The sequence below is a fragment of the Homo sapiens genome, chromosome 15 (assembly GCF_000001405.40).
Source record: "Homo sapiens chromosome 15, GRCh38.p14 Primary Assembly".
NCBI classification, from domain to species: Eukaryota; Metazoa; Chordata; class Mammalia; order Primates; family Hominidae; genus Homo; species Homo sapiens.
In genome coordinates, this window is record NC_000015.10 from 67,124,847 (window position 1) to 67,152,055 (window position 27,209).

Sequence of the window (27,209 nt, forward strand, 5' to 3'; positions counted from 1 at the left end):
TGAGCTTGGTGAATTTACCTGGCATCTGAGCCTGGCCTGAACAATTCAGAAACCTCATTTCATCAGTCTTGGAGTCAGGGCTCCTGTCTCTTAGCAAAAAGCTAAAGCATACATCAAGCATATTTATTGACAAGCGTAACCACTGTGAGGTTATAACCAGGGTGCTCTGTCTGCTTATGGGCACCCCACCCGACCAGCCAAATGGTCAGAGAGCTGGGTGGGTCGGGGAAAGGGAGGGAGGGAGTCATGGGAAGCAGTTGTGTTGAATGGCTACAGGCCCTGGTGGCTGGGTGCATCCCCGTATGCCATCCAGGCCCACCCACTGCTGGGCCGGACCTTCCCCTCTGGACAGTTCTTGCTTGGGCACTGACTGGGTTTGCTGCTGAACCTCCTGGCCTGGCAGCTCTGGTTGCTGATCCACCCGCTTCTTTCTTTATAGAGATTAAGAGCGGCTCCAGTGTGTGTACGGAGAGCCTCTTTGAAGCGCTGTTGCCTTTCTGTGGCTAGATCCACGATCTTCTCTCTGGGATCACCCCATAGGACATTTGCTTTCCACCTTCTCCAGTCCCAGTGAATGCATGGACCTCTGTCCTCATTGTTACTGGCTGAGCCAGATGTCAGTCCTGTGACCTGGCCTCAGGACCACTCTTGTAGCCCACCGTGGGTGGATGAAGCCGGTGGGAACAGAATGATAGGAGTTAACCACTTTTTAGGCGTTATTGGGCCTTTTCACTTTAATAGCTTAACAGAGACATCTGTGATGGCTTGCATCCAGAGTGCGTGGTGTTTATTTTTGATTTGAAATATGAAAAGCATTTTTTTAAGACAACTGACTCCTCTGAGTCATGCCCAGGGGAGCAAACGGCCTGAAATATGAGCTTGTGCTTGCTGGAGGAGGATGACAGAGGAGCCTGCTGCTGAGTTCACTGGTGCTGGGGTTAGGTCACTGCTGGGCTGAAGCGCACTGACCATAAGAGCAACATGTGGGCAAGAGCCGCGGCACTGGGGTAATTTATTGCCGCCGCTCGCTTCACCAGGAACCCCACACGCTGGGTTCCCACAGGATGCGACATTCCCACAGGATGGGACAACTGCATGGAAACCCACACTCGGGCCTGTGTTGAGCAACCACGTTTGAGTAAGAGTTATCTTATTTGGCAGGGTGGGTTAGGTGTGGGGTATTTGTCACTGAGAAGCAGAAACTGTATGCTCGACACACACTCCCTGAGTCCTTAGGGAATTGCGTAGTTTTTTTCTTTTCTTTTCTGGGTTCATCTTACCAGCAGTCGTGTTTGAGAATGTGCACAGCTCACCTTCGTTCAGCCCTTTACAGTTTACCTCCATAGCCTTCTTTGCGTCTTGGCACCATCTTGCGAGGTGTCAGGCCAGGTGTTAGGATGCTCTGTTTACAGATGAGGAGATTGAGGCATGAGTTGTGATTGCTCACAATTGCCTCCTGAGTGGTGGGGCCATGCTGGGGCACTGTGCCCAGACTCTAGACTTCCAGGGGTCCGGGACCTCCTGCTGCCAGTCTCCTAGCCCGTTACCACAGCTGTCTGTTTCTTGGCCTCTCCCTAGATTTCTAATGGAACTCTTGGGGTACAGTCTGGAAATAGGTATTTTAAACATGCTTTGCAGTGATTGTTACAGATCTTCATGTTCAGGTGGCCCAGGGGCTGACCCTGCTCCAACTTCCCCCTCAGACATTAAACCTGTACCACCCACTGAGATGGTTTTGATTTTCTATTCTGCGTTTAAGGCCCATCTTCACCCCATAAATGCCAGCTCCCCAAGGACAGAGCCCTTTCCTGTCTTGTCCACACCATGTTCCAGGGCCCTGGACGGTGGTTGGCACACAGTAGGCCCTTGGTAAATGTTTGTCGGATGAGTATGTCTCTTCCTCAGCTCTGTGGTTAGCTGGGAGAGCTCCGACAGTAGAGTCTGGCAGGTCTGGTTCAAGCATCCCTTTGGTGTAACATGGTGTGAATGGTGGGGCCTCACTGAATTGTGGAGTGGGGGGCAGTGTGTCTCCCTACGACCTCCTGGTGAGGAGAAGATAGTCACCACCCACACAGGCACACTCTTGAATATTCCAGGACGAGGTGGGCACTCATTAGAGGGCAGCTCTTACGGCCACTGCCTGGTATGTTTTGGCGTGAGCAGTAGGGTCATCGTGGTGGTCAGTTTTTCCACTGCCATCAAATGGGATCCATTTAGCTCTCAGACAGACAAGGTATAGGGCTGGACTCTGTGCCGTGGGCTAAATACCGGCCACCTCGAGCCTCAAATCAAGCCCAGACACCGGCATAAACCCAGGTGGCCCAAGCCGAGGTCGCTCCCCAGGGCCAGGCTCATGAATGGATAAGTAAATATTTACCCTGTCTGAGGTCGAATGTGAACTGTCTACCAGGTGTTTTGTTTTTCTGTCTCCTCCCTCTGTTTCTGCAGTGCCTCCCCCTGTAAAAAAGGAAACCAAGAGGCTGACAGGTTAAGTGACAGGCTTGACACAGCTAGCCATCAGAACGTCCTCCAGTCCCATCTGAGTCCTGTTCCTCCTCAGGCACCTCCTCCAGGAAGCATTCCCAGATGACTGGCCCATCCTGCCCTTTCCCTCCTCTGAGCCGCACCCTGCAGACGGCCCTCTACCTGTGAATCCATACAGGATGTAGGCAAAGGGGAAGAGGTTTGCTCATCCTCTCTCCTTCACCCTTGTGCATATTAATACTCACCTGGCAATTAGTCATATGCAACTCTTATATTGACCTTACATGTTCCGTGTCTTCTGTGCCCGTCTCTGGAGTTCCTGAAGATGAAGGGCTGTGTCTGCTGCACCTTCAGACTTTTTGAAATTGATTGGTTGGTTTGTACATCCATTTATTCACCCCACCCCTCATCCTACTGTACACGCTTATGGTCAGTCTATTCTGTGTCGGGCTCAGGGCCTTTCTCCCCAAAGTGCGTTCATGTCCAAGGCTAGAGTGGATGGCTAGAGGCCAGAGGACAGCTTAGGCTGAAAGTGGTAGGGAGACTATCAATGAAGCTGGGGGGAGCTGAGCTTCTGAAACTTGGGAATAAATTTTCAGCCTTGCTAATGTGTTCCTCTGAAAAAATATCTTATCAGGCCCTCAGATATCCACCAGTTCTCCCTTTCCAACTTGCAGCCTGCACCCTTGGCCAGGAAGTTCATAGGCAACAAAATAGAATCCACCTTCCCTATCACTCACCCCTTTTAAAATGTGACTAACTCTGAGCTAACCAAGCCTTGGCCAGACGTGGATATGGTTATGCACGGACTCCGTTTTGTGGTTTGTCATTTCTGACTTGCTGGGAAATCCTTTGTTGGGGGTGGGGATGGGAAGTAGAGCATCTCTGGGGCTGGAGTTTTTCTAAGATGTGTAAGATTTAGAGGCTGTCATACTGCAAACAGGGAGAGCGGGCTGTCTGCTTGGCTTCATGGTCAGTGGAGAACAGCCTGGACTTGGAGTAAGAACAGCTAGGTTCAGATCCCTGCTTTTACTCCTGACCACTTAGTAACCTTGGCCGAGTCCCTCAACCTTTTTGCCTCAGCTTCCTTATCTGTAAAACATGGGGTTCTTGAAGGATTAAAAGAGCTGGTGTGTGTAAAACCCAGGAACATAGTTCCTGGTGTATAGTGACTTATAATTTCGAAAACCTTAAGATTTTATTCATAAGATTTTTTTTTTCAAGGCCAACTTAAGATTTCTAAGAGTTTGTTTTTCAAAGAGCTGGGGTCTTGCTTTGTCGCCCAGGCTGGAGTGCAGTGGTATGATCATAGCTCACTGCAGCCTCAAACCTCTGGGCTCAAGAGATCGTCCCACCTCAGACTCCTAAGTAGCTGGGACTGCAGGTGCACGCCACCACACCCAGCTAGTTTTTAAATATATTTTTTAGTAGAGTGAACCTCGCCATTTTGCCAAGCCTGGTCTGGAACTCCTGGCCTCAAGCGATCCTCCCACCTCTGCCTCCAAAAGTGCCAGGATTACAGGCCTGAGCCACCACGCTCAGCCTTCTAAAAGTATTTTGGTGTGCACCATTAGCACTGTGTCTTAAAGGCGATGTGCACCTTGAGCACAGAGTGTTGAGTGCGTGGTGGATGGATGTCATTTGCGTTTTACAGATGCGGCAACAGAAACTCAGGCCCAGCCACTTACCCGAGGCCACATAGTCCCAGGTAGAGTTGGAATTTGGAATAAAGCCTGCTGACTCCAATCCTAGATGCCTTCCACACTCCTGTCCCCCTACCTCTACACCAGGCGTCCCCAACCCCTGGGACCCCTGGGAAGTGATGTGCACTTAGCACCTCACTATGGGAAACATAAAGCAGGAACTAACAGGACTCCTCTCTCAAGAAGGAATTTCAGTCTACTTGGGGAAAGAATAATAGCCAAGCAGTAACTCAGGTTTGTTTAGCCTTCTAGAGCAGTGTTGCCGGATATCACTGTAGTGTGAGCTACAGTGTATGGTAGCCCCCACTTGTTCTTGGTTTTGCCTTATGAGGTTTCAGTCAGCTACAGTCTGGAAATAGGTGAATATAGTACAGTCAGATGTGTTGAGAGAAAGAGACCACATTTATATAACTTTTATGATAGTATATTGTTATAATTGTTAATTTCATTATTAGTTATTGTTGTTAATCTCTTACTGTGCCTAATTTATAAATTAAACTTTGTCTTGGGTGTACATGCACAGGAAAAAACACAGTGTCTATAGAGTTTGGTACTGTCTCTGGTTTCAGGCATCCACTGGTGGTCTTGGAACGTATTCCCCTCGGATAATTGCAATTACTTCTAAAATCTAAAATCTTCTGGCCATGTTAAAATGTAAAGAGAGGGTGAAATTAATTTTAAATACTATATCTTGTTTAATACAGTGTATCCCAAACCATCATCACTTTAGCATATACTCAAATATAAAGATTGTTAACGAGCTATATTACATTCTTCTTTATCATACTGAGTCTGAAGTTGATGTGTCCTTTATACTTGTGGCACATCTCAGTTTGCACTGTCCACATTTCAAGTGCTGCCATGTGGCTGGTGGCCACCATATTGGACACCACAGCTACAGGATTTCTTCGTTAGGTCAGTTGATGTCACCTGCATTTTGGAGTGGAGTCATTGAGCTCACTGGCTGAGTTACACAGCTAGTGAGGAGCCGGGTGGGACCAGAGCTTGGTCTTCTTCCCATTAAGGAAGAAGGGAAACTTGCATTTGCTGAATGTCTACTATGTCCCAAGTGCTGTGCTAGATACTCTACCTTTGTCATTCCATTTAGTTCTCACAGCAGCCTTGCATGGTGGATGAATATCATGTGCATTTTACAGATGAGGCAACAGAAACTCAGAGAGGCCCAGCAACTTACCCAAGGCCACGTAGTCCCAGGTAGAGTTAGAATTTGGAATAGGGCCTGCTGACTCCGGTACTAGGTGCCTTCCACTCACCTGACCTCCTTCTCTTACACCAGGGGTCCCCAACCCCGGGGCCGTGGACTGATACCCGTGTGCGGCCTGTTAGGAACCGGGTCTCGTAGTAGTAGGTGAGTGGTGGGCAAGTGAGCATTACGGCCAGAGCTCCGCCTCCTGTCAGATAAGCGGCTGCATTAGATTCTCATAGGAGCGTGAACCCTATTGTGAACTGCATATTGGAGGGATCTAGGTTGCACACTCCATATCAGAATCTAATGCCTGATGATCTGAGGTGGAACAGTTTCGTCCTGAAACATCCCCCCCAACCCTCATCTCTGGTGCCAAAAAGATTGGGGACCACTGCCCTACACAGAGAAAGAGAATTTGCACGTAGCAACTTAGGCAAAGTATTCAAGGAAAGTGCCAGGGGACAGGAAGGACACCATGGGCTGGTGGCCTGTTCAGTAACAGCTTCAGGGTATCAGTTCAGAAGGCCTAGGCCTGCTTTGGTTGGGGTGGTGTATGTGTAAAAGCAGCATTCTGTCTAATCACAGGTTCTGCCTGAAAGGCAGACACTTTTAACCCTTCGGTGGACAGGGTTGGTGATAGCTAGTGGGGGGTATGAGGTGGGGGTGAGGAGGTGGTGGTGGGCAGCAATTGCAGAGGCCAGAGATCTTGGCTGTGTTCTACCTGCCACGCTGGGAATGCTAAGTACTTCTCAAGCCTTCAAGCAACTGAGACTTTCTGCTCGGGGAATCCCCAAGGATTTGGGGAGGCTGGAATTGAGCAAGCTCTTGAATGCATGCATGGATTCATGCAGTCACTCACTCCACAAATATTCACGTGCTTTGGGCCAGAATGATTTCGGCAGGAATATCTTGTCCTACATGCTATTGCCATGTTCTCTGAGGACCCGCGGCTTCGCATGTGTAAATCTCCCTCCAGAGTACTCGGCAGATTCCCGAAGCTGACTGAGGCTCAGGGAGTGTCAGTCCCTTGCCACAGGTCACATAGTACTGAATGGAAGATATGGGACCTCAGAACCAAGAGGCTTTGACTCATTTGTCCCTCTTTCTGTCTGTTTTGCCATCAGCCAGGAGATAGTCGTTGAGTTGTTTCTATTTGCCAGGCATCGAGCTGTGTTCTCGGGTTTCATTGTTGTTGTTTTCATTTTGAGTGTGTTTGTTTTGTTTTACTTTTAGGAGCAATCACAGTGCTCCTGTTGCTGAATGGTGGCTGATGTCTGTTGCATGCCAAGCACTGCGCAGGGTGCTGGTCACAGTTTGCTCCAGGGATTCCTCCCAGTCCCGCTGTAAAGAGGAGGAAACTGATGCTCAGAGACTTGGACCTTTCTGAACATCATGAAGCTAGGGATTTCAGTCCCAGCCTCTCTCTCGAGAGCCCTAACTTAGCCACTATACCTCACTGCCTCTCTGTGACCAGGGTTGAGTCCTGGTCCTCAAATGAAGCCCGATTTGCCAGAACCTTCTTTTGAGGCCTTACCTGGTCTTCAGTTTTACCACGTGTTAATTGGGGGCAGGGCAGCCAGTCCATCCTCTTCTGCAGAAATCACCCTGTCCAGGAGATGGGTGCTTCTTCAGGACACTACCTGGCTAAGAACACTGCATTAACAGGAGATAGAGATCCAGTGTGTGTGAACCTTGTGAAAACATCTCTGTCTGTTCCTCCAATCTCCCCCTTCTGTCTTATCATGCAGGGCAAGCTCAGGTTGTTGTCCTGTCTCTGTTGGGAGGACCCTTGAGTGGTATCTCCTATGCCCAAGCAGACCTGCAGAGAACCCTGTCCAAACTGATGGTCATCTGAGACATGGAACTTCATGATAGGAAGGTGTCTTGGAGGATAACTAGCAAGTCTTTCACTTTATAGAGGGGGAAACTGAGTCCTCAGCGATCAGCCACATAGATTCTGTGTTGTAGAGACCTGAGGATGTGTCTCATCTCCTTATCTGAACAGCAAGTTCCCATGCTGCGAACGTCTCACCCTGACCCTCACCGTATTTTTTAGGAAGTGAATGGGGCTTTGAGAAGGACAACCTCACTGTTTTGCCCATTTCTGAGATGGAAAATCAAGGAACATTGCCCCATCTCCACCCCGGGAATCTATATGCCCCTCCCATAGGCAAGATGGAAGCTAGACCAGAATGTGCAGCTTGTGCTTCTTGCGGGAATGGTGAGGACAGATGAGGGCAGGGAGACAGCATTCCTAAACCCAGCCTTTTGACCCAAGAGGCAGGGACTCCAAGGCTGTAGAATGGGAGGAATTGTGGGAGGAAAAGCACTGGGCAGAAGGTCTCAGTCAAATGCACCTGCAGTTATTAGCTATGTGACTTGGGCATAATGCCACCTGTGAGCCCCCATTTTCCTCACTAGGACAGTGAACTCACCAATAGGTTTGAGTTGTTGCCCTCCCAGAACTGTTGCATGAATTGAATGAGGTGCCTTGCTTAACTGTACTGAATACTGGGGAAGCCTGCTTAAATGGATGACAGGCTTTTTATCATTAGCAAGCTGCCGCACTCCCCACTCATCACTCCAAGGCAGACCATTGCATTTTCTTTCATTCTGATAAACTCCTTGAGTTGAACAGAAATCAGACTCCCCGTAACTTCTGCTCCACAGTTTAAAACAGCCCACCATGAAGCCTTATGTCCTTCAGGACATTCTGCCCTGTTCACTTGGATTTCTCTCCTCCCTGCAAAGCATCATCAGCTTCCTCCTCTGACCCATGTTTTGCACTTCCTTGCTTGTCACTCCTCTTTAAACACTTGTCCAAACTGTTTGTGGCCCGTCCTGTATTACGCCCAGGGCAGATGCAGTAGCCCAGCCCAAGCAGCAGAGACCATGGCCTCCCTGATGTGGGGTCTGTGCCTCTTCTCCAGGCAAGTGGCTGTGACAGTCTAACTTTATGGAAGGGTGAACTCAATGACATTGGCTGAACTGCTGGTGAACACGGGAAAAGCCCTTCTGGACCTCTTATCTCTCTCTCCTGGCCAGAGGAAAACCATGTCCCATTTGTCCTGTTTGAGCACTATCAGGCCTATAGCCATAATCTTTTACACCGTAACATAACTTTGCCAATGCCAATATTATATGCCCTTTTTTTTTTTCTAGAAAAACTTAATTGGGATTTTAAATGCATTTGGGGGATGGGCTGCGTTTCTGTTTGCCTCTAAAAACAATGAGAAGGCAAACAAAGTATGATCCTATCGCCAGAAAAATGGAGCCAAATCTGAAATTAATTTACAAAGTCATTAGTATTTTCCATTTGTGACCCCCAAAATGAATGTAGGTGTAGTTCCTTGCAATTAACTGCAAATTAGGAAAGGGTTGGGAGGATGTTTCAGGGACCAACACACAGAACTGTAGCAGAAGCAGATGGGGGAATGGAACCAAGAATTGCCTTGGTTTTCACTCAAGGCCGTGGTTTGGGAGAGTAGTGCCGACTCAAATATTCCCCAGAAGAGAGCACTTTTTCAACAGTCTGAAAAGTGGCAGGGACCTTTGGAATGATCTGTTTTAACCTTTTCATTTTCTGAATGAGGCAACTGAGAGATTCAGGAAGGGTAAGCGACTTGCCTAAAGTCACATAGCCAGGAAGGTCAGAACCAGGACCAGAGCTCTGCTTCTGACTCCCTGGCCAGTGCTCCAGCTGCCACTGCCCCCCTCTCTCCTGGGTGCTTGTCTGCTTGTGCCTTTAATGTTCAGCACTTGAGATATTTTCACGTTTAGCACCTTCACGTTTAGCAGTACTCCTCATTAGAGGAAAATGGGATGATGTGGGCAGAGTCACCCACAGAGTCACTCCAGGTTTCAGATGTGCTGGTGCTTACCGAGTGCCACAGGGAGAAAGTGGTGGTTTCTCCCTTCCCTTAAGAAACCTGGTTATTTCCAAGGCTCAACCCCTGCAACGCCCCACCAAGCCAGTCACCCACCACTGCACATTGAGAATCTGCTGCTCTGTGAATGAAATTGGCCTGGGGTTAATGAGTGGTGAATGTGTGTCAGTGTTTGGTATTTGCAGCAGGAGCTCTTCTGCGATTCCCTAAGCTCAGATGAACGGGGCCTTTAAGATGCCATCCAGCCATCGGAGAGATGCAGGAAAGGCCTTTTGAAATGCTGTTTCCCCTGACCTATTTGAGGTGAGGCCCTGTGATGTCATTTCCCCAGTGGTGTGTGTGAGAGAGCAAGCAGCACTAAGAAAAGCCACTGCTGAGAGTTCACAGTCCTTGCTTCAGTGTTGTCTTACGCTCGGGGTGCCTTAAAGGGCTTACAGCGACCCTACCTCCAGCTTCTCCAGCTCCCTTTCCTTGGCAAACACTTGACCCATCCCAGCCCCTTGGGCTTTCTTTCCTCCTCCTCTGCTACCACATACTGTGGGTGTTGGGAAATTACTAAAGGCGCGACTCTGGCTCTCAAAGACTCTGAAGTCCAGGATCGAGAAGAACTGTGTTTACACGGAGTTGTCAAGGATCATTCTGCCAATGATAACCTATTATCGTGCAACTCTGTGCCAGGTCCTGCTCTGGGAGCTTTATGTGTGCTGTTGCCCCTCACACTCACGGCAGAGGTGAGACAGAATGCTGAGAGATTTCTGCAGACAAGGAATCTGAGGTTTAAAGAGGCAATGTTTGATGAGCCACTGAGGGGTGGGGCTGGGATTGGAACCGAAGCTGGCTGCCCTTCAGCCCCCAGGGTCCTGCTGGGGAGATGTACCCAGGGGGTCCTGTGCTGGGAGAGTGGAAGCAGGGGTGTCACTGGGGGCTTTGTCCTGGGAGCTGGGCAGGTGCTAGGGACAGAGCTGGCCTGGTTTTGGAGCCACAGGAGAGAAGATGGCCGGGAAGAGCTGTGTTTGGAAGGTTCCTTTCTGTGCCAGGGGTCAGCAATCTGGGTTCTAGCACTGAGAGGGGCAAAACGTGGGTTTGTAGGGGAGAGAGGGTGACCCCCAGTGAGGGTAAGAAAGATAAGCTCCAGTGAGCTCTTCTCACCCTGGGTCCCAGCCTGTACCAAAAATCCAGGGGCAGCCCCCGGGCCCAGCCTGCCCCCTTCACAGTCCCCTGACTGCTTGAGGCTGTGGGCCAGTGGCTTTGCCCCTTGGAAGCTTGGTTTCCTCATCTGGGACAGAAAGGGGTCAAAACACCCTTTTTCATTGTTAAGATTAGATAATTTGAGAGCCAAAACTTCTTGCAGGGTGCCTGGTACCAAGTAGGCCCTCTCTAAATAAATAAATGATAGTTTTCATTTTCCCTTCCACTTAATTGTTTTTTTTTAAAAAAAACTTTTCTTCCCTGTAATAACAAATTTCAGAAGACAAGTTAATACATTGCTGTGTATACTCTCAGGCCAAGAATTTCCTCAGTGTTTACATACCAGAGCAGTACTTTGAACTTTGATTTTCTCCTCTGCCTCTGTGCTGGTTCAGACACCCTCTCTAAGATGCCAGAAGCATTGCCCTGCCTTGGCCTGTTGGTGGTGGGGTATGTGTGTGTGTTTTCATCGTATTATAAAAACGTGAAACATTTGAATTACGGGCAAGTGGTATTCTACCAGATTTAATAAACGTTAATATTTTCCATATTCACATCAGGTATTTGTAACATCTCTTTCTTTACTAAAAATAAAAACCTTCTGCTGAAGACCTCCTGTTACTCCAACCCCTTCCCCCTTCTTCTCGCTCCCGTTTCACAGGTGTTTACTCTCTTTTAAATTGGTGTGTGTCCTTCCCAGCTAGAATTTTGTAGTGTATTATTTGTAAAGCCAAATAACCCCACTGCAATGTGTTTGAACCACCAAAGCAAATGATCACCTTTTGGGAAAAGAAGGCTGAATATCCAAGGCCAGATCAGTGATTCAAGATCACAGAACAAACCTAACTGCTCTCAAATTGAAATCTCAAAATTATAAATTCATTGCCTTTGACTTAAAACTTGGAACTTTCAACCCTGCATAATTGCAGATACATTAAAGATTGTGCCATCTTGAGCTCCCAGGGTCATCTGAACCTTTCATGTGAGGAAACACATCCCAGAGTCAGTCATTCTTTTTTTTTTTTTTTTCTTTTCGAGTTGGAGTCTTGCTCTGTCACCCAGGCTGGAGTGCAGTGGTGCAATCTCGGCTCACTGCAACCTCCGCCTTCCGGATTCAAGCAATTCTGCTTCAGCCTCCTGAGTAGCTGGTATTACAGGCGTGCACCACCACACCTGGCTAATTTTTGTATTTTTTAGTAGAGACAGGGTTTCGCCATGTTGGCCAGGCTGGTCTCGAACTCCTGACCTCAGGTGATCTGCCCACCTCAGCCTCCCAAAGTACTGGGATTATAGGCATGAGCCACTGCACCCGGCCCAGAGTCAGTTATTCTTAGAGCAGGTGTTTTGGCTTTTGTCTTTAATGCTTCCCTCCCCACTTTAACATAACTGTAATATATAATTATTGTGGAAAATTTAGAACACATGGAGAAGTAAAGAGTGAAATTGCTGACTGCCCTATTACCCCAACCTCCACCCTATAGAGATATTTTCTCCCCATCCCCCCAAGGGCAGAGGATGGAGATCCCTGGGCTTCTCCAGGTGGGGAGTGGTACCATGGTCTCTTCAGGTTTCGTAGCAGACAGGCCCCATTGACCATAGGATATGTGTCCCCAAGGTGGTTAGAGGCCATCACCTGCCTGAGGTCAGCTCAATGGGCAGGGCTGGGCATCTCCTGGTGGTCTACCCACCATGCCAGTTCATCAGGCTGGGGTCTGACCTCTTTCTGGTGTCTGGTGCTGATCTAGGCAAGGTGACAAGTGCTCAACAGAGGAGTCCTGGTTCCTTCAAGGAAGCTGGGAAGTGTAAGACGGAGCAGGCTGCGTTTGTGGTTTTTGCCAAGGCTTGACTTTTGACCACTTTTCTGAAAAAGGACAAGGGTGTTTTTTTGTTTTGTCATTTTTTTTCCCAGTAGATGTTCCTATTTGGTTCACAGATATAAACACTTGAACCAGGTGATATCAGCACTGCAAGTTGATTTAGTACCACAGCCATTTTCTGTGTACCAATATGAAGCTGTTCCTTCATAAGTTCTTCCTTTTCGCTTTTTTAAACTGAAATTATTTTCATTAGGATCACTACCTTCCCATGTGCATTTTACCACAAAATTTGGTTCTGATTCTGTTGGCTTGCTTGCTGTTAGTACTCATGTTAGCTTCTGCCATTCTTTCCACCATTGTCCTGGGTAAAATTTTGCATATCTGAGTTGTTGGATTCTTTCATCAGTTTTTGGTTAGTGACTTTCATGGTCTGCAGTTTTAGTTGCTTTCAGTTTTATTTTGTGTTGAAGTTTTTTCTATGAGGTTTGATTTTTTCAGGGTCAGTTTTTAAATGTAGCAAGGAGTGTGCTTTTTCAGTTTGCTTATTATTTTCAACAAATGTTTTTGGTGGGTAATTTTACCTTTGTTGATCACCAGCTTTGTTTGGGGTGCATCATTTCTCTCAAGCCGAATTTTCTCTGGTAATCTGGCCAGAAGGCCCATAGGGTCAGAATGGCAGGTCAAAATGTCTTGGTGCTTTCTTGAAGAGTTTGAAACAAGCTTGCAAAGTACTGTCCTCCCTTTGGATTTCTTCTGTCTGGGTGTTGCCAGGGCTCTTCTGTTAGCGACAGAGAAAATAGGAGGTACTAGAATTCGGACTTCTAGGAAGGGCTGTATTGTCCTTATCATCAGAATCCCTCCCTCCCGTCCCTGTGACCTCCCAACTTCACAAACATGTCTTGCCTGCACCCTAGGCAAACGTGGAAAGGCGCAGCTCTGGTACACCGGAAAGCATGGTGGATGGGGAGGTAGGAGCCCCGTGCCGGGACATGTCTTTTCTCTTTCTTGAACTCGTCTCCCCACCCGTCCACAGGGTTGCTGGCCAGAGATCTGTCAGAGTTTCTCCGGGCTTCTCTTTCTCTGGGTGGGGATGTGGACTCTTAGGATGTCAGGAAGCAACTGTAGGAAACCCCCTGTGTGGGTGAAGCAGAGGCGTCGCTCAGGGCCCTCTGCCTGGTTCTGGGCTCTGGGACCCTGCTCCCCTCCCCTGAACCCCCCCTCCCCCGGCCCCAGGATGGAGCTTGCTTGCCATCGCAGTGGATTTGCGGAAGAGGGTTCCAGAGTGTGGGGAGAGCGTGCTGGGGAGGGGAGCTATTTGTTCCTTTCCAGTCATCGCTGTACTGAGCGGTTCCCTGGGACAGTTGAACCCAGGGGAACTGAATTCATCTGTGTAAGTAAACATCCATCTCCCCTTAAAGGAAAAGCCCCTGCTCAGCCTCTCTGGGCAGCTGGAATGCTGCTCTGTGGGTCTGGGCATTTGTTCCTTCTTTCTTTCTTCCTTTGATTTCTTGCTGTCTCCTTCAATTAGGCCTGTGACTGTTTTCACATGGCTATTTGTATATACAAGCCATGCCAGGCATCATAATTTGTGTTTGTCTAGATCAATAAGAGCAGCTTTAACCAAAAAGTCCAGCTGAGAATTTATAAATACCCCTCACCTCCTCCCCTCCCTGGAAGATGTGAAAACACCATCCCATTAACCCTCCAAAGCAGTTGGTTGACTTGATCAGGGAAGATATGAAATATAATTTCTTTGAATGTGCTTTCTCTTTACTCTTTTAGTGGAATTTGATCAGTGTTTAAGGAACTGTAGCCGATTCCCAGCCCACTTCAAAGCAAAAGCCCTTCACTGTGCCTATTTGCAAAATTACCTTTGAGAGACTGAAGTGTCGGAAATGCATTTAGACACAGATTGTGCCTTATATTAGCTCTCCGTTGCCCCATAAAATGGGCTTGGGCATATCTGAGGCAGCTACCAAAGGAAACTTAAAAACAGATTCTGGCGGCAGCGATTCTTGTGTTCTGTGCTCACTGTGGAAAAGAAGGGGGCTAGAGGGATTTAAGTTTACGTGGATCTTGAGGATTTTAAGAACCAGATTTCTTCTCTTTGCTCACATTAGGGGAAAAAAAATAAACCTCAGATGCCCCGTGATATCTCGTTGCGTCAGGTTTTCCTATAAAATGTCAAGACGGCAATATTAGGTTTCCTGGCTTGCTTTTCCCCACTGTGTCTGCTCTTGCCAGAATTTTTATTAGGGGGAGGGGAGCATTCTCTACCCCTCCTCCCTCAATGAAATCATTTCTTCCCTAGCCTTTAACCCTTTAAAGTTTGGGAAGGGAATACTTTGATTTTAGGGTTAAATAGAAAACTTCCTTAATGACTGTGGCTGGAATTAAGGTGTACTTAAAGCTGTAGCAGCCCTGGTGGGTCCTGGGCTGACTGGGTGCTAGGGTTTGGTATGGAAAGCAGCTTGCATCACCTGCTTTTCTTCCCATGCCTGTGCCTTCCCCAAGCTCCCCCTCCTAAGCCAGGTACGATTCCAGCTATGTTAAAAGGCCCTGGGAAATGTTAACTGATCAAAAATGCTGGGTAAGTAGAATTATTATTTCACCCTGACCAACTTCAGTCAGATTAGCATATCTGCTGTCACCAGGTATGGCACAGGCATGGGTGGAAGCTGTGCTTGGAAAGTGAATGTGTTTAGGCCAGGTGTGGTGGTTCATGCCTGTAATCCCAGCACTTTGGGAGGCCGAGGTGGGTGGATTACTTGAGGTCAGGAGTTCAAGACCAGCCTGACCAACATGACGAAACCCCGTCTCTACTAAAAAAAAATACAGAATTAGCCAGGTGTGGTGGCACATGCCTGTAATCCTAGCTACTTGGGAGGCTGAGGCAGGAGAGTCACTTGAATCTGGGAGGCAGAGGTTGCAGTAAACCGAGATGGCACCATTGCATCCTAGCCTGGGCAACAAGAGTGAAACTCTGTCTCAAAAAAAAAAAGAGAAAGAAAAGTGAATGTGTTTGCTGGAAGCTGTGCTTGATTAAGTGAATGTGTTTGATCCAAGAGGGCAGGGGATTCTGGAAGAGACATTAAGTACAGATTGATGAGTGTCTTGTCTCACCGCAAAAACCTCCTTTCTCTCTTCCTTCCTAGTCCCCACTGAAAATGGAGTGGTGATAGCTTAGTTCTCACTTTGGTTTCAGGCAAGAGAAATGGTACCCAGGAGGTAGAGTTGAGTAGAGACTCCTTTAGCTCTCTTCTTTTTTCTAACTTCTCTTTATTCCACCGTTCTCTCTTTACTTCTGCCTACCTTAGCAGCATGCTGCAGAATAAACTCTGCTAGGAGGAAGTTTGAAATCTCCAGGCTGAGAAACTATGCAGAGAGCAAATGACCTTCTGAGGGCTCTGGGTACAGAATCCTTGGTATGACAGGTGGGTCTAGAGCCGGCAGAGACTCAAGGCAGCCTGACAGGACAGTGAGAGTGAAAGGGAACGCTATTAATAATGACACCAGGTCAACACATGCGAACCCAACTGTCCTGAACAAACGGGGGTTTGTGGTTGCGCTACAAAACCCAGGCTTCAGTCTCTTCGAGTTCTGTTTTGATTTGGAAGGAGTGACGCCTTCCCCTTTGGAAGCTTAGGCTAGGGTTGCAAGCTGAGGTGTTCACAGGGACAGACAGAGTGTGGGAAATGGGGCCAGGTGTAAGGAAACGGAGCAGAACTTGGGGTTCATTCATAGTCTAAAGGGGGCATTGGCAAGTCGGCATCAGACAGTAGCAACTTGTTGCCAGATCTTCTGAGTTTTTTTCAAGAGAAGCCAAAAATCAAGATTTACACACAAAATCTCCCAGTTTGTAAAAGTTGGCAACCATTTAAAAATTTTAAAAACGCTCTGCAGGCCAAGCACAACATCTGTGGGCAGTGGGCAGCTGCCTGTTTTTGACCTCCAGCCCAGACCGATCAATTGATGGCTGTCTTCTGGGTCTCCCAATTCCGGCAACGGGAAGTTTCTTAAGGAAGTTGCCTGGGCTGACCGCAAGTGAGGTGGGGAAGTGGAAAGGGAGCTTGACTTGGCTTCGATTGATCATTTGCACAATAAATATTTATTGAGCACCTGTTATGTTCAACGTACTATCTGTGTTGTGCCATGTTTCCTAGTCTACATTTTGGGATGAGCTGTGTCTTCCTCATGCAGGTGGACTCTTTATGCCCTGCACAGGGATGGTTCCATGCTTCTCCCTGAGATTATGGCCAAGATGGATGCAGTGGGAGGAACTTCAGTGGGGGAATGTTGGGGAAAGACCTGGGTCCGATTCTCAGACCCTGTAAAGTTCATTGTATTTCAGCTTAACCCAGCAGTAGTCCCCAGGATGAGACAGTCTTCAGCTGAGGAAAGCCCTGGGGATTTGGAAGCTAGAGCAGAGAGAGTCCAGCCAGGGACCCTTGTCTGGCAGTCCCTGAAGGCTGTACCAGGACCAGGCGGCAAAAATCACAGAACAGCCTCCATTCAGCTCCATACATGGCAGAACTTTCTAACAGAGCTCTGTACCTTGTGGTTGTTGGACTAGATGATCTGTGAGCTGTTTTTCATTACCTGGAAAGTCCGATACCTTGAGTCCACCCCCCATACACCCATTAGACTCCTGAGTCTTAAATCTGCTCTGGTTCATGGCTTACCTCCTGCAGCTGAACTTGGGGTTGAGTGCCCCAGAAAAGCCGATACAAACTCTAAGTTGAGGCCAACTCAGTTTGCCTGGGGATGAGGTGGGGTGGTATGGGGGAATAAAGGCTTCTCTAATGCTGTGAGGTGTCATTCATGTTTTCCATTCTCCTGCTCTCCGAATTTAAATTAGGGTCAATCATACAAACCTCACAGGCTTGTTCAGTCAACAAAGGCACAGAGAGCTTAAGTCACTTGCTCAAGGCCACGTAGCGAGGCAGTGAAGAGCTGGGGCCTGGACCAGCTCATCTGTCATCCCCCGCTCTTTTACCCCCTTTCCTAAACTGTTAGATTTTAATTTCCTTTTGGTATATTCATTCTTTTGTGTGTCTCCTCCCCACACCCCCCCCACCATTGTTTCTAGAACTGTCAGTGTTCAAATGTTTAATAGCTAGGTTTTTTTTTTCCCCCGTACACTTGGCCAGAAGTAGGAATTCATCACCATGTGTGAACATTTACTGTACCTCCATGGTTTGCGTGGAATTGTACTAGAAACACTCAACCCCGGGGCTTTGTTGGCAATAAACTAGGTCTTTCTGCAGAACTTTTGAGGACAAATCACCAATGGGTTGGAAAGCATTTCCTTCAGGAATGGCGAAACTCTATTTTTCACCTTGTTAATGCTGCTCCCACCTTTGTTTCTCCCCTAGTGTCAGTCTTAAGTGTGTTAAGTGCTTTTTTCTGCTCAGTGTCCTAGATAAGAGGTTTCCAAATGATGTCCCCTGATCTGTACCCCACCCCCAATTCTCAGGCTTCTGGATAGACAGAGAATGGACATCTGGTTTGTTTTGGAATGACAGGCTAGACTAGAGGCGTCCAGAGGCCTGGTAACGGCAGAGGCTGCTGGCATCTTAAGACATTCAAAAACCACTGTGCTAAGTAACAGTGGAGATATATTGATCTCAACATTTCAAGGAGAAAAGAGCTTGTGAAATAGGCTTGTGATGTTTGTGATAAGGGCCCTGTGGGGCAGCTGGTGGGCACCCCATGTAGAGCTGGAACACAGGGACATGATCCCATGTGCAGGAGACAGCTCCAGCCTCTGCATACCCGTCGGCTCACTCCTGGGTTGGAACATCCTCCTCATTTTCTCTGGCATGTCCTTTTGCTCAATGAATCATTCCCGGCCAGGCCAGACGTCCTTGCTGGAGAGCCAGCTCTCCGTGCACCAGCCCTGTGATTCTCTAATGCCAGCTTGAAATTCGGTGACCCACCTTGGGATGCTTTGCCTGTCAAGGTTTTTCAATGATGAATAGTTGTTATGAGCATGTCAGCCAGAATGGTACTTTTCAAGTCATTCAGTAATGGATCTGTATGATTATTTTTTGCACAAAGAACTAAATAGCTAAGATACTATTGTGGCAGATATGCCATAAGTACCTTTTCAGTGAAATCTTTAGTGTACATATTTGTCACACTGTATTAGAACATATTAAGGCAGCTCATTAATGTTTTAGTATTTAGAGTTTGTCATACAGTGAGCAAAGGCAGACACCTTTGACACAGTCTATTGGAGCAAAATATGTCTAGGCTTTTGCTTGCTTTTTTCATTTTCAAATCCATATTTCCATCAGAATTTTAGAGTTGTTTGTTTGGAGGCAGAGTCTCACCCTGTAGCCCAGGCTGGAGTACAGTGGCCTGATCTCAGCTCACTGGAACCTCCGCCTCCCAGGTTCAAGTGATTCTCATGCCTCAGCCTCCCAAGTAGCTGGGACTACAGGCATACACCACTACGCCTGGCTCATTTTTGTCTTTTTAGTAGAAACCATTTTCACCATGTTGACCAGGCTGGTCTTGAACTCCTGGCCTCAAGTGATCCACCCACCTCGACCTCCCAAAGTGGTGGGATTACAGGCATTAGCCACTGTGCCCAGCCTAGGGAGTTTTTTTGTTTTTGTTTTTTGAGATGGAGTCTCGCACTGTCGCCTGGGCTAGAGTGCATAGTGTGATCTCGGCTCCTGCCGCCACACACAGATCATAATGTGATCTGCAACCTCCGCCTCCTGGGTTCACATGATTCTCCTGCCTCAGCCTCCTGAGTAGCTGGGAGTACAGCCTGCTTTGGCCTCCCAGAGTGCTGGGATTACTGGTATGAGCCACTGTGCCCTGCCTTTTTTTTTTTTCTTTAATGTTTGTATTGAGGTGTAATATGCAATAAAAGGCACATATTTAATGTGTACAATTTGATGAGTTTGATATTTGTATATGCCCATGAAACCATCACCAGTCAAGATAATGAACATGTCCATCACTCCTCTAAAACTTTCCTCCTGCCTCTTTGCAATTTCACCATCTTGTTTGCCTGCTGCCCCCATCCCTAGGCATCCACTGATCTGCTGTTATTATACATTAGTTTGCATTTCCTAAAATTTTATATAAATGGAATCATACTATATGTATGACTTTTGTCTGATTTTTTTTAATGCAGCATAATTATTTTCAGATTCATCCATCTTTTTGCATGTTTTAGTAGTGACTTTTTGTGGTTGGGTGATATTTCTTTTTGTGGATATAAAGGGAGGGTTGTTGATCTTCAGGGATTATTTATTTTCATTTTAAAAGTTTCTCCTGAAGTAGTATTTTGTTTTTGAAAATGTGCTTTGAAAGAAATTTGTTTAGAATTCATTTGGCCCTAAAATCCACGTAATTAATGATTTAATGAGTTAAATAGTGATTTAACTATATAAATATAGTTTGCTACCATGTTTGCTATGTGCCAGGCTTGATGGTGCTTGTAGGGCACAGAAGAGGTTCCTGTCCTAGCCAGTGGTTGATGTGTTCAGGAGGGCCTATCAGTAGTGCACTAGTGCACCATATCCTACATGTGATAGAGCTGCCGTGTTCTTAGACACAAAGACAGCTGTTATGCTGTCTTTGCAAAAATGTTGAGGTCTTGCTTTCCACAGGCTTGTGGCCTGATGCACGTTTCCAGTTTTGCACAATGTCACAGCAGATATGCCTTCCACGCCCTTGGTTTTTCACAGCCAGGCATGGGGCTGGAATCTCAGAGCTGCGGTTGCTGTGGTTCTCTGATTCCTGCTCAGAGGATTGCGTGATGGGGGCTGGAGTGCAGGCAGGAAGTTAGCCTTGTGGATTCCCTCATCCTCACAAAGCCAGGCGCACAGGGAGGGGTTGGGGGTAGGGGGTTGCCATGGGAATTTCTTCCCCAGCCAGAGAGCCAGGGTGGAGTGTGTTGCTGGGGAGTTGGAAATGTACCCTCTTTTCCATATCCATTGTTCAGTCACGTTCTCCTGAAAGAAGTCTTCTTACTGTGTGTAAGAAAAATCAGTAAGCCTCTGATAAATAGTCAAAGACTGTCAGAAAAGGGACCTTGGAAATATCTGGTCCAGCCTGCCCATTTTATAGGTGAGGAAGCTGAGGCTCAGCAAGCAGGAGTGACTCAGGAATAAGCACTCATAGCACAGCTGGGACTTGGGAAACCCAGGCACTGCTTTAGACCTTCATTTTCACAATCCACGAAGGGGGGAGTTTGAAGAAGGCTTGGCAAAATTTGATAGACCTGGGAAAGAGATTGTTAATCTCTCATTCTGTGCTCAAGGATGCTGTGCCATTTAAAAAACAAAAACAAAAAACAGAAAAGAAAGACAAAATAATTCTCCCAGATGATGTTTCTAGAATGTTCTGACATCTTACAGTGTCCTGACCTTGCACAAGCTTGTTCCAGTAATAACGTTAAAATTCAGGAGTGGATGTTCGGCAACATCATTGGGCAGGATTTTCTGGTTCGTGAATGAAAGGTTATGGGTGACACTGTATGTCAGTGTGGCGCTTACCGGTTTATGAAGGGCCTACATGTGCAATCTCTACAGGAACCACTTCCCACATGGCCCCTTTATACCAATGAGGAAATGGGCCCCCGGAGATGAGGCACTTGACCTGAGGTGGCCCAGGTGGTAAGGAGAGGAGCCAGCTTTCCAATGCAAGTCCCAATTTCCAGTCTCCTGTTGTTTCCACCGTGTCTCCCTGCAAGGCGGCTGGGGCACGCAGAACAACAGCTTGACACAGTGGGAAGAAGCTGGGCTTTAATGTTTAGAGTTCAGAGTTCAGCTCTGCTCCCCTGCCTGCTGGGTGACCTTGTGGAATACTCCTAACCTCTCTGAGCTTCATTGTCATCTTTTGGAAGATGAGGCCCTGTCCTACAGGATTAAAGTATTTAAATATAGAGTGCTTACCATAAAACTTGCTTCTAGGAAGCAACTGGTCAGTGTTAACTCCTTAATGAGGCTGAAGTAGACATGGTAAAACTAGTTGTGGAAAGAGATCCTATAAAGCAAAACTGAGGACACATTTACATATACCAAGGGGTGCCCAGCCCTGTTCTTCCTGCACATAGAATCTTAAATGTTTCCTAGATTGAGCCATTAATCTTCGATTTTTTGCAAAGGAAGTTAAGACAGAGATACCAAGTGCCTTGCACATAGTAGGCCTGTAGTAAACACAGACTGGATGATCAACTGCTCTTTGGAGGAGCAGAGAGTATGCCTACACATCATTTGAATAAAATGTGACAGCCTGCCAGAGACCAGACTTTGAAGGTTATAGACCCAGGGCACGTGGCCAGAGCAGCTGTCAGTGGAGGTGCGGCCTAGAGCGGGTAGTGTGGAGGCTGGAGGGGGCTGTTCCATGGCACCAGGGTTGAGTGGGAGTCAGTGCAGACTTAGGAGAGGGAATGTGTGTTCGGGGATGGGGAGCGGGGAGGGACTTCTCTCAGACACTTATATGGAATCTCAGGTCATACAGAGACATTGTCTCTGTGTTTTATATTTTCCTTTGAGGACATCTCCATTTAAGTAGCTGATGCCTGAGCGGGGAGAGAAGAATGAGCCTTTTCCTTCTGTTAGAGCCTGTAGCTGCCTCTTCAGGGTCAGACTTTAAGGTGTATGGGGACAAAGTTGGGTCAGTGTTTGTAGAAAAAAGGCTCTTTCTCCATTTCTCCCTCCTGCTTAATCCAAGGAGCAGAGAACACCAGGGAAACTCGGAAGTAGCGGGGTTGATTTGGGAGCTAGATGGGGCCTGACATATGAAGCTGCTACCTGGTTACAGCCAGGCAGAGTTGAAAGGGTGTCCTTTGGCGGGGTGAGAAGAGAGCAGCCTCCAAAGATTCCCCTGCACCCCGCCAGGCCCTGCCAGGGGCCCCTCCCACAGTTCTTTGCTCCTTCCACGGAGCCTGTTTGAGAATTCAGTGATTCACTTCCCGTCGTCAACTCTTGTTTAACGTTCCCCTCCATTGTTACCAAACAATCCAGGCCCCAGTGATGTGTGGTGTTCTGAGAGTAGAGGAGGGAAGAGAGAGAGAGAGCCAGAACTGTTTACAGAGCCCGGGAGATGGGCCCAGGCTTGACAGCCGGGCCGACTTGAAAGACAGGCTGCAGTGGACTGTGGCCCCAACAGCTGGGTGTGTGCAGGGTGGGAAATGCCAGGCACAGCCGCTCCTCCACAGAAACCACTCTGTTCTTTCTGCTCTTGATGGAAGCTCCTGCCCTTTATTGTGGTGTTAGCTTCTTTGTTCAGTTACACCGACAGCTGAGTTTTCTATTTGGGGCCATAGTTTTGGGGTCATGATTCCTGGAGTAGAAAAAAAACAACATAGGAGCTCACTCAGAAGGATCCCTGGGTAAATGCCATCCTTTCCTGGGCCCCAGTTTCCTCACGTGTTCAGGGGGAAAAGAAGGTGGTGGTGAAATGCCCCCCACCAGCTCCAAAGTCCTGTGGTTCTGAGGCTGGAATATTCTGCAAAAGGACATTTGCACACCACCCTTCCACTGCCCCCGCCCCAGTGTCGTGTCCAGGTCCAGTTCTACCAGCCACAGATGTGAGCATGTCTGGAACCTGTCTACCTGTCTCATTCATTCCATGACCTCTGATTTTTGAGGTCAGTAATTCTGCAGCCTCCCTCACCTTTCTGGTTTAAAGCAACCTCCTCTCTCAGGAAGTTGTTTGAAATCAATTTAATTCCTTTATATCCCACATGACAGCTACGACTGCCACTGTTTAGTTGATGTTGGCGTCGGGTTTGGGGCTTACTTGGCTTTTGTGTTTGCTTCTAACCTGCAGAAAGAGTCAAAGTTCTGAAGTTTTCTCTCTCATCCTTTCTGTTTGTTGCTCCATGTACAGTAGGGAAGAGGAATTTTTGTTGGTAGTCCACATTTTTGATTACTTATTTGCTCTGCTGCTATATTATGATTCAGGTTTTCTCCAAGGCCCTAGGTGCCTAAAAGCATTGAAGGAATGAGAAGTGTAGACACAGAACACCTTTAAGCCACTTCCCCCTGCAAATTAGTGTATTTCACAGGTATTTGGAATGCTAGAAGGTACTAGAAGGTGAGAAGACACTAGAGATCCGTTGAACCCATCATTTTTTAAATGAGATAATCCATACCTAAAGACTCCTCCATGAGTCGGTAGCACAGCCAGAGGGAGGGCCACACACACCCCTGTCATCTAATGAGCAGCCAGGGCTCCAGTCCATCCCCAGTGTGGGCCATATATCTGTGTGCTTTCTCCTCTATTAAATCCAACACTTGATAAAAATCTCCAGTTAACAAATATTTGTTGAGCAAGTTTATTGCAAATCGCTGTATTTAATGTCTGCCTACAACCTTAGCCACAGATGACTCTCTCTCCCTGGTATGGCAAGTGGGCAGAGCTTCCTCATTCAAAAACATTTTAGCTTCCTGCACTTCCCCGCTGGTTGCTTTCGCCTAACTGGCACCTGTGGCTGTCATTCCCCTGCTGTTTTTAATTGCACCTCTCAAGACCAGCTGATTGCTTAAAGAACATTTCTGGTATTGGGCCCATGGCAGTAATGTGCGTCTGTGGATCCCTTTGCTATGAGGCTTGACTTCTTGATCGGGTTCACAAGGCTGGTGGGCAGCCTGAGATCTTTGCTTATTTCCTACGTCTTCTGAAAGGTACTATGAAGCTTACCAGTTGCTGATGCACGCTATCAGCTAATAATTCCATTACCATTACTATTTTCTGAGCAAATGTGACCTGCAAGCCCCTCGCTCCATCCAGGATGCAGGCAAAGTTAAGCTAGGTTTCCTTTCCCTCAAGGAGCTCCTGGCACAGTTGGGAAGGGAAGTCAGAAACACACAGAAGTCACTTCATCATACCAGGCCTTTGGTGCTAAATGATGATGAATTTGAAGAGTGTGGGACAGTGGGGATGGTGGACTGTAAGAGTTCGAGGAGGGGAGGATGGAGAGAGGTCATTCTTAGCAGAGAGCCACAGAGTGGGTTACTGTTTGAGCTGGAAGATAATTGGACCTCCAAGGGCTCTGTCCCCACCTGCACCTCAGCGCACTATGCTGGTGGCCAAGAGTGCAGGAGCCTCACATTCAGATACTGTGGCTGCAACATTTTACCTCCACTACTTGGGCCTGTTCAGCATTTTGAGTTTCTATGCCTGTAAATTAGGCCTGTCTAGGAAGTGGGGGTGAGGTGGTGGGTGGGCAGGTGCTCTGAATCTCAGCTGGGACTGGGTGGGCTGATACCGGGGAGAGTTGTAAGTATCTAGGACCCAGCGGGAGGACGCCTCACCTGGAACCCTTTGCTTGTTCCTGATTGTAGCTGTTTTAGGGATGCAGCTTTCAGACAAGGGCCACTTAGTTGATGAGGCCGGCTTAATCGAGGAGGGCTGTTGCCACCCTGACATTGTTAAGTGTGGGCCTGGCTTCTCTGAAGTCCTCCTTTCTTGCTTGTGTGGAATTCCTGTTTTCCTGCCCATAGGGGTTCTTTGCTGTCTTAGGTGAATTGCCCCAATGAACCAGAACCTTTTTTTTTTTAGGTACAATAGGAGGTCTGTACCCTTAGACAGAAAGGAATGCTAATTGGCCACTTAACTGTCCTCAGGGTACAGATGCCAGAATATACAGGGCACCCATTCTTTGTTACCATTTGGGATGGAAACTGCTTATATAAGCTTGTAAAGCTTTGGTTCAGAAAGCAAGAGAATGTGTATGGAACGTTAGCAATTGCTGTCATGCAAATGCTGCATTTTTTGCATGTAAAGGTACCTCTTTACCTCCATGGTCCTTAAACTAACTTTTTCAAGAAACATGGTCATTTCCCACCCTTCCTTTACTTCCAGCTCCCCATTCATACCCAACAGTGGCTAACTGAAAGGTTTGCAAATCCTGAAGGCTTTGGGGCTTCTTTTAAAAAGAAGAGACTGAGTTGTAAATGTCATAAGACTGAGATGGTTGTAAATGTCCCAACCATACTGTGTGACATTTGCTAGGAATTGTTGTAAAATCACTGGAGTGAGCGCTTGTCCTGAGGCACTGCCTCTCCGCGTGAATGTCACTGAGTCGCCCGGTTGACCCGTTGCATGTTATGCAGCACTTGTGACATTGTTTTATCTCTCTAGCCGGTGACTCATAATTAAGGAAGTCAAAACTGTGCAATTAACACAAAACCTCCTCATTTGCCCTCTTCACCTCTCCCCAACCCCCGCCCCCAGTCAGGAATGCCCGCCTGACATTTTCTCTAAGTCTTTGGAAACTTTAAGATTTGTTTTGATAGAACAAGGCCGCCAGTTATCATCGCCTGGTTCCACTTGTTTTACCCCAAAAGTCTGTGAGAATCTTTTCCAGGAAAAAAAAGAAAGAAAGAAAGAAAGTAAATCCCACCCCCAAGCGTGCAGTCTGCCCACAGGAAGTGATTCATGGTGCTCCGATTCGGGCAGACCTGACTGCAGGAGGCGGGAGGCTGGGAACCAGGTCTGGGAAAAGAGGGCAGAGAGAGGATACCCAGACCTAATGGCTTCTGCTCTGTGGAAGAAAGTGAAAAACAGAATGACTAAGAGTCCTGTAATAAGAATTGTTTGTTTTGTGAAGTTGAACTAATAGTGAGGTTTGCCGGCAGATAAGACTTGAGAAATTGCAGTTGTCAGGGGAGGGGACTTTTCCATGTCCTGCTTTTTTTTTTTTTTTTTTTTTATTAAGAGAGCAAAGCTATTTCTCAGTCTTTTTTTTTTTTTTTTTTTTTTTTTTGAGATGGAGTCTCTCTCTGTCGCCCAGGCTAGAGTGCAGTGGCACAATCTCGGCTCACTGCAACCTCCACCTCCCAGGTTCAAGTGATTCTCTTGCCTCAGCCTCCCCAGTAGCTGGGATTACAGGTGCCCACCACCATGCCTGGCTAATTTTTTTGTATTTTTAGTAGAGACGGGGTTTCACCATGTTGGCCAGGTTGGTCTTGGAACTCCTGACCTCAGGTGATCTGCCCACCTTGGCTACCCAGAGTGCTGGGATTACAGACGTGAGCCACCACGCCAGGCCTTATATCTCAGTCTTAAGACATTCATATATTAGTGGAAGGCCCAGATTTGTGTTTCAGTTCTACCTTGCCACCTCTAAGCCTGTTTTCTTTTCTTTGGAGAAGAGGGTCTAAGATGAGACCATTATCTCACAGTCTCCAATAGCTCTTTCTCCCCATTTTCCCTTTTATTTATTTATTTATTTATTTATTTTGAGACGGAGTCTCTCTCTGTTGCCCAGGCTGGAGTGCAGTGGCACAATCTCGGCTCACTGCAACCTCCACCTCCTGGGTTCAAGCGATTCTCCTGCCTCAGCCTCCTGAGTAGCTGGGACTACAGGCTTGCGCCACCATGCCCGGCTAATTTTTGTATTTTTAGTAGAGACAGGGTTTCACTATGTTGGCCAGGCTGGTCTCGAACTCCTGACCTTGTAATCCACCCACCTCAGCCTCGCAAAGTGCTGGGATTACAAGCATGAGCCATTGCACCCAGGCTATTTTCCCTTTTTCCTTTCCCTCTAAAGTTAGAGTTTTTGAAAAATATTTGATTTTTTTAAATTGACAAATAATTGTCCATATTCATGGGATACATAGTGATGTTTTGATACATATTAATGTCATTATGGTGATCACATCAGGTTAATTAGCATCTCCATCCTGTCAAGCATTTATCATTTCTTTGGGTTGGAAGCATTCAATATCCTCCTTCTATTTGAAACTATGTAATATATGAATGTTACTATGTATGTTACTATATAAGCATTCAATATTCTCCTATTTGAAACTATGTAATATATGATTATACATAGTAACAATCATATATTACATAATAATTGTAAACTATGTAATAATAATATTGTAATATATGATTGCTAGATATTTGAAGCTATATAATATATTATTGTTAAGTATAATCATCT

General features: G+C 47.1%; 1 protein-coding gene and 1 long non-coding RNA gene across 10 annotated transcripts in view, besides 7 other annotated features; one reads left to right on the plus strand and one right to left on the minus strand.

Annotated features, from left to right (window-relative positions):
• The window catches only part of SMAD3 (SMAD family member 3), a 129,568-nt gene that overhangs the window by 59,245 nt on the left and 43,114 nt on the right, over positions 1–27,209 (plus strand). For 2 of the 9 annotated variants that reach the window (NM_001145102.2, NM_001407015.1), the window contains exon 1: positions 896–1,138. The exons of 5 other annotated variants lie outside the window; for them this stretch is intronic. Coding sequence is in view for 1 of the 4 variants with exons in the window: in NM_001145103.2 (NP_001138575.1) it covers positions 13,181–13,254 (74 nt within the window). In the remaining 3 variants the exon portion in view is untranslated. Of the gene's footprint in view, positions 1–895; positions 1,139–13,174; positions 13,677–27,209 lie in introns of those variants that run through there. 2 more of the 9 variants (NM_001407016.1, NM_001145103.2) reach the window with 2 other exon arrangements.
• Positions 10,735–10,879: an enhancer, noted in NCBI's record as "145 bp enhancer 105 fragment used in the MPRA reporter construct; PK_construct_853". NCBI's record gives its function as "activates an SV40 promoter by MPRA in HepG2 cells {active_cell/tissue: HepG2}" and the evidence as "EXISTENCE:reporter gene assay evidence [ECO:0000049][PMID:23512712]".
• Positions 10,802–10,813: a transcriptional cis regulatory region, noted in NCBI's record as "FOXA motif; enhancer activity is reduced when this motif is scrambled". NCBI's record gives its function as "necessary for full MPRA enhancer 105 activity {active_cell/tissue: HepG2}" and the evidence as "EXISTENCE:site-directed mutagenesis evidence [ECO:0005528][PMID:23512712]".
• SMAD3-AS1 (SMAD3 antisense RNA 1) lies at positions 17,888–22,093 on the minus strand. The gene is made up of 3 exons (NR_186224.1): positions 22,066–22,093; positions 21,205–21,295; positions 17,888–18,240 (listed from the first exon to the last, which is right to left on the minus strand). It is a non-coding gene; the product is annotated as an SMAD3 antisense RNA 1 (long non-coding RNA).
• Positions 21,237–22,172: an enhancer, noted in NCBI's record as "H3K27ac-H3K4me1 hESC enhancer chr15:67438421-67439356 (GRCh37/hg19 assembly coordinates)". NCBI's record gives its function as "activates a minimal SCP1, AML or CMV promoter by ChIP-STARR-seq in primed H9 embryonic stem cells {active_cell/tissue: H9 hESC(primed)}" and the evidence as "EXISTENCE:reporter gene assay evidence [ECO:0000049][PMID:30033119]".
• Positions 22,173–23,107: an enhancer, noted in NCBI's record as "H3K27ac-H3K4me1 hESC enhancer chr15:67439357-67440291 (GRCh37/hg19 assembly coordinates)". NCBI's record gives its function as "activates a minimal SCP1, AML or CMV promoter by ChIP-STARR-seq in primed H9 embryonic stem cells {active_cell/tissue: H9 hESC(primed)}" and the evidence as "EXISTENCE:reporter gene assay evidence [ECO:0000049][PMID:30033119]".
• Positions 22,185–22,479: an enhancer, noted in NCBI's record as "tiled region #2708; HepG2 Activating DNase matched - State 5:Enh". NCBI's record gives its function as "activates a minimal TATA promoter and a strong SV40 promoter by Sharpr-MPRA in HepG2 cells {active_cell/tissue: HepG2}" and the evidence as "EXISTENCE:reporter gene assay evidence [ECO:0000049][PMID:27701403]".
• Positions 23,486–24,293: an enhancer, noted in NCBI's record as "NANOG-H3K27ac-H3K4me1 hESC enhancer chr15:67440670-67441477 (GRCh37/hg19 assembly coordinates)". NCBI's record gives its function as "activates a minimal SCP1, AML or CMV promoter by ChIP-STARR-seq in naive H9 embryonic stem cells {active_cell/tissue: H9 hESC(naive)}" and the evidence as "EXISTENCE:reporter gene assay evidence [ECO:0000049][PMID:30033119]".
• Positions 25,101–25,908: an enhancer, noted in NCBI's record as "NANOG-H3K27ac hESC enhancer chr15:67442285-67443092 (GRCh37/hg19 assembly coordinates)". NCBI's record gives its function as "activates a minimal SCP1, AML or CMV promoter by ChIP-STARR-seq in primed H9 embryonic stem cells {active_cell/tissue: H9 hESC(primed)}" and the evidence as "EXISTENCE:reporter gene assay evidence [ECO:0000049][PMID:30033119]".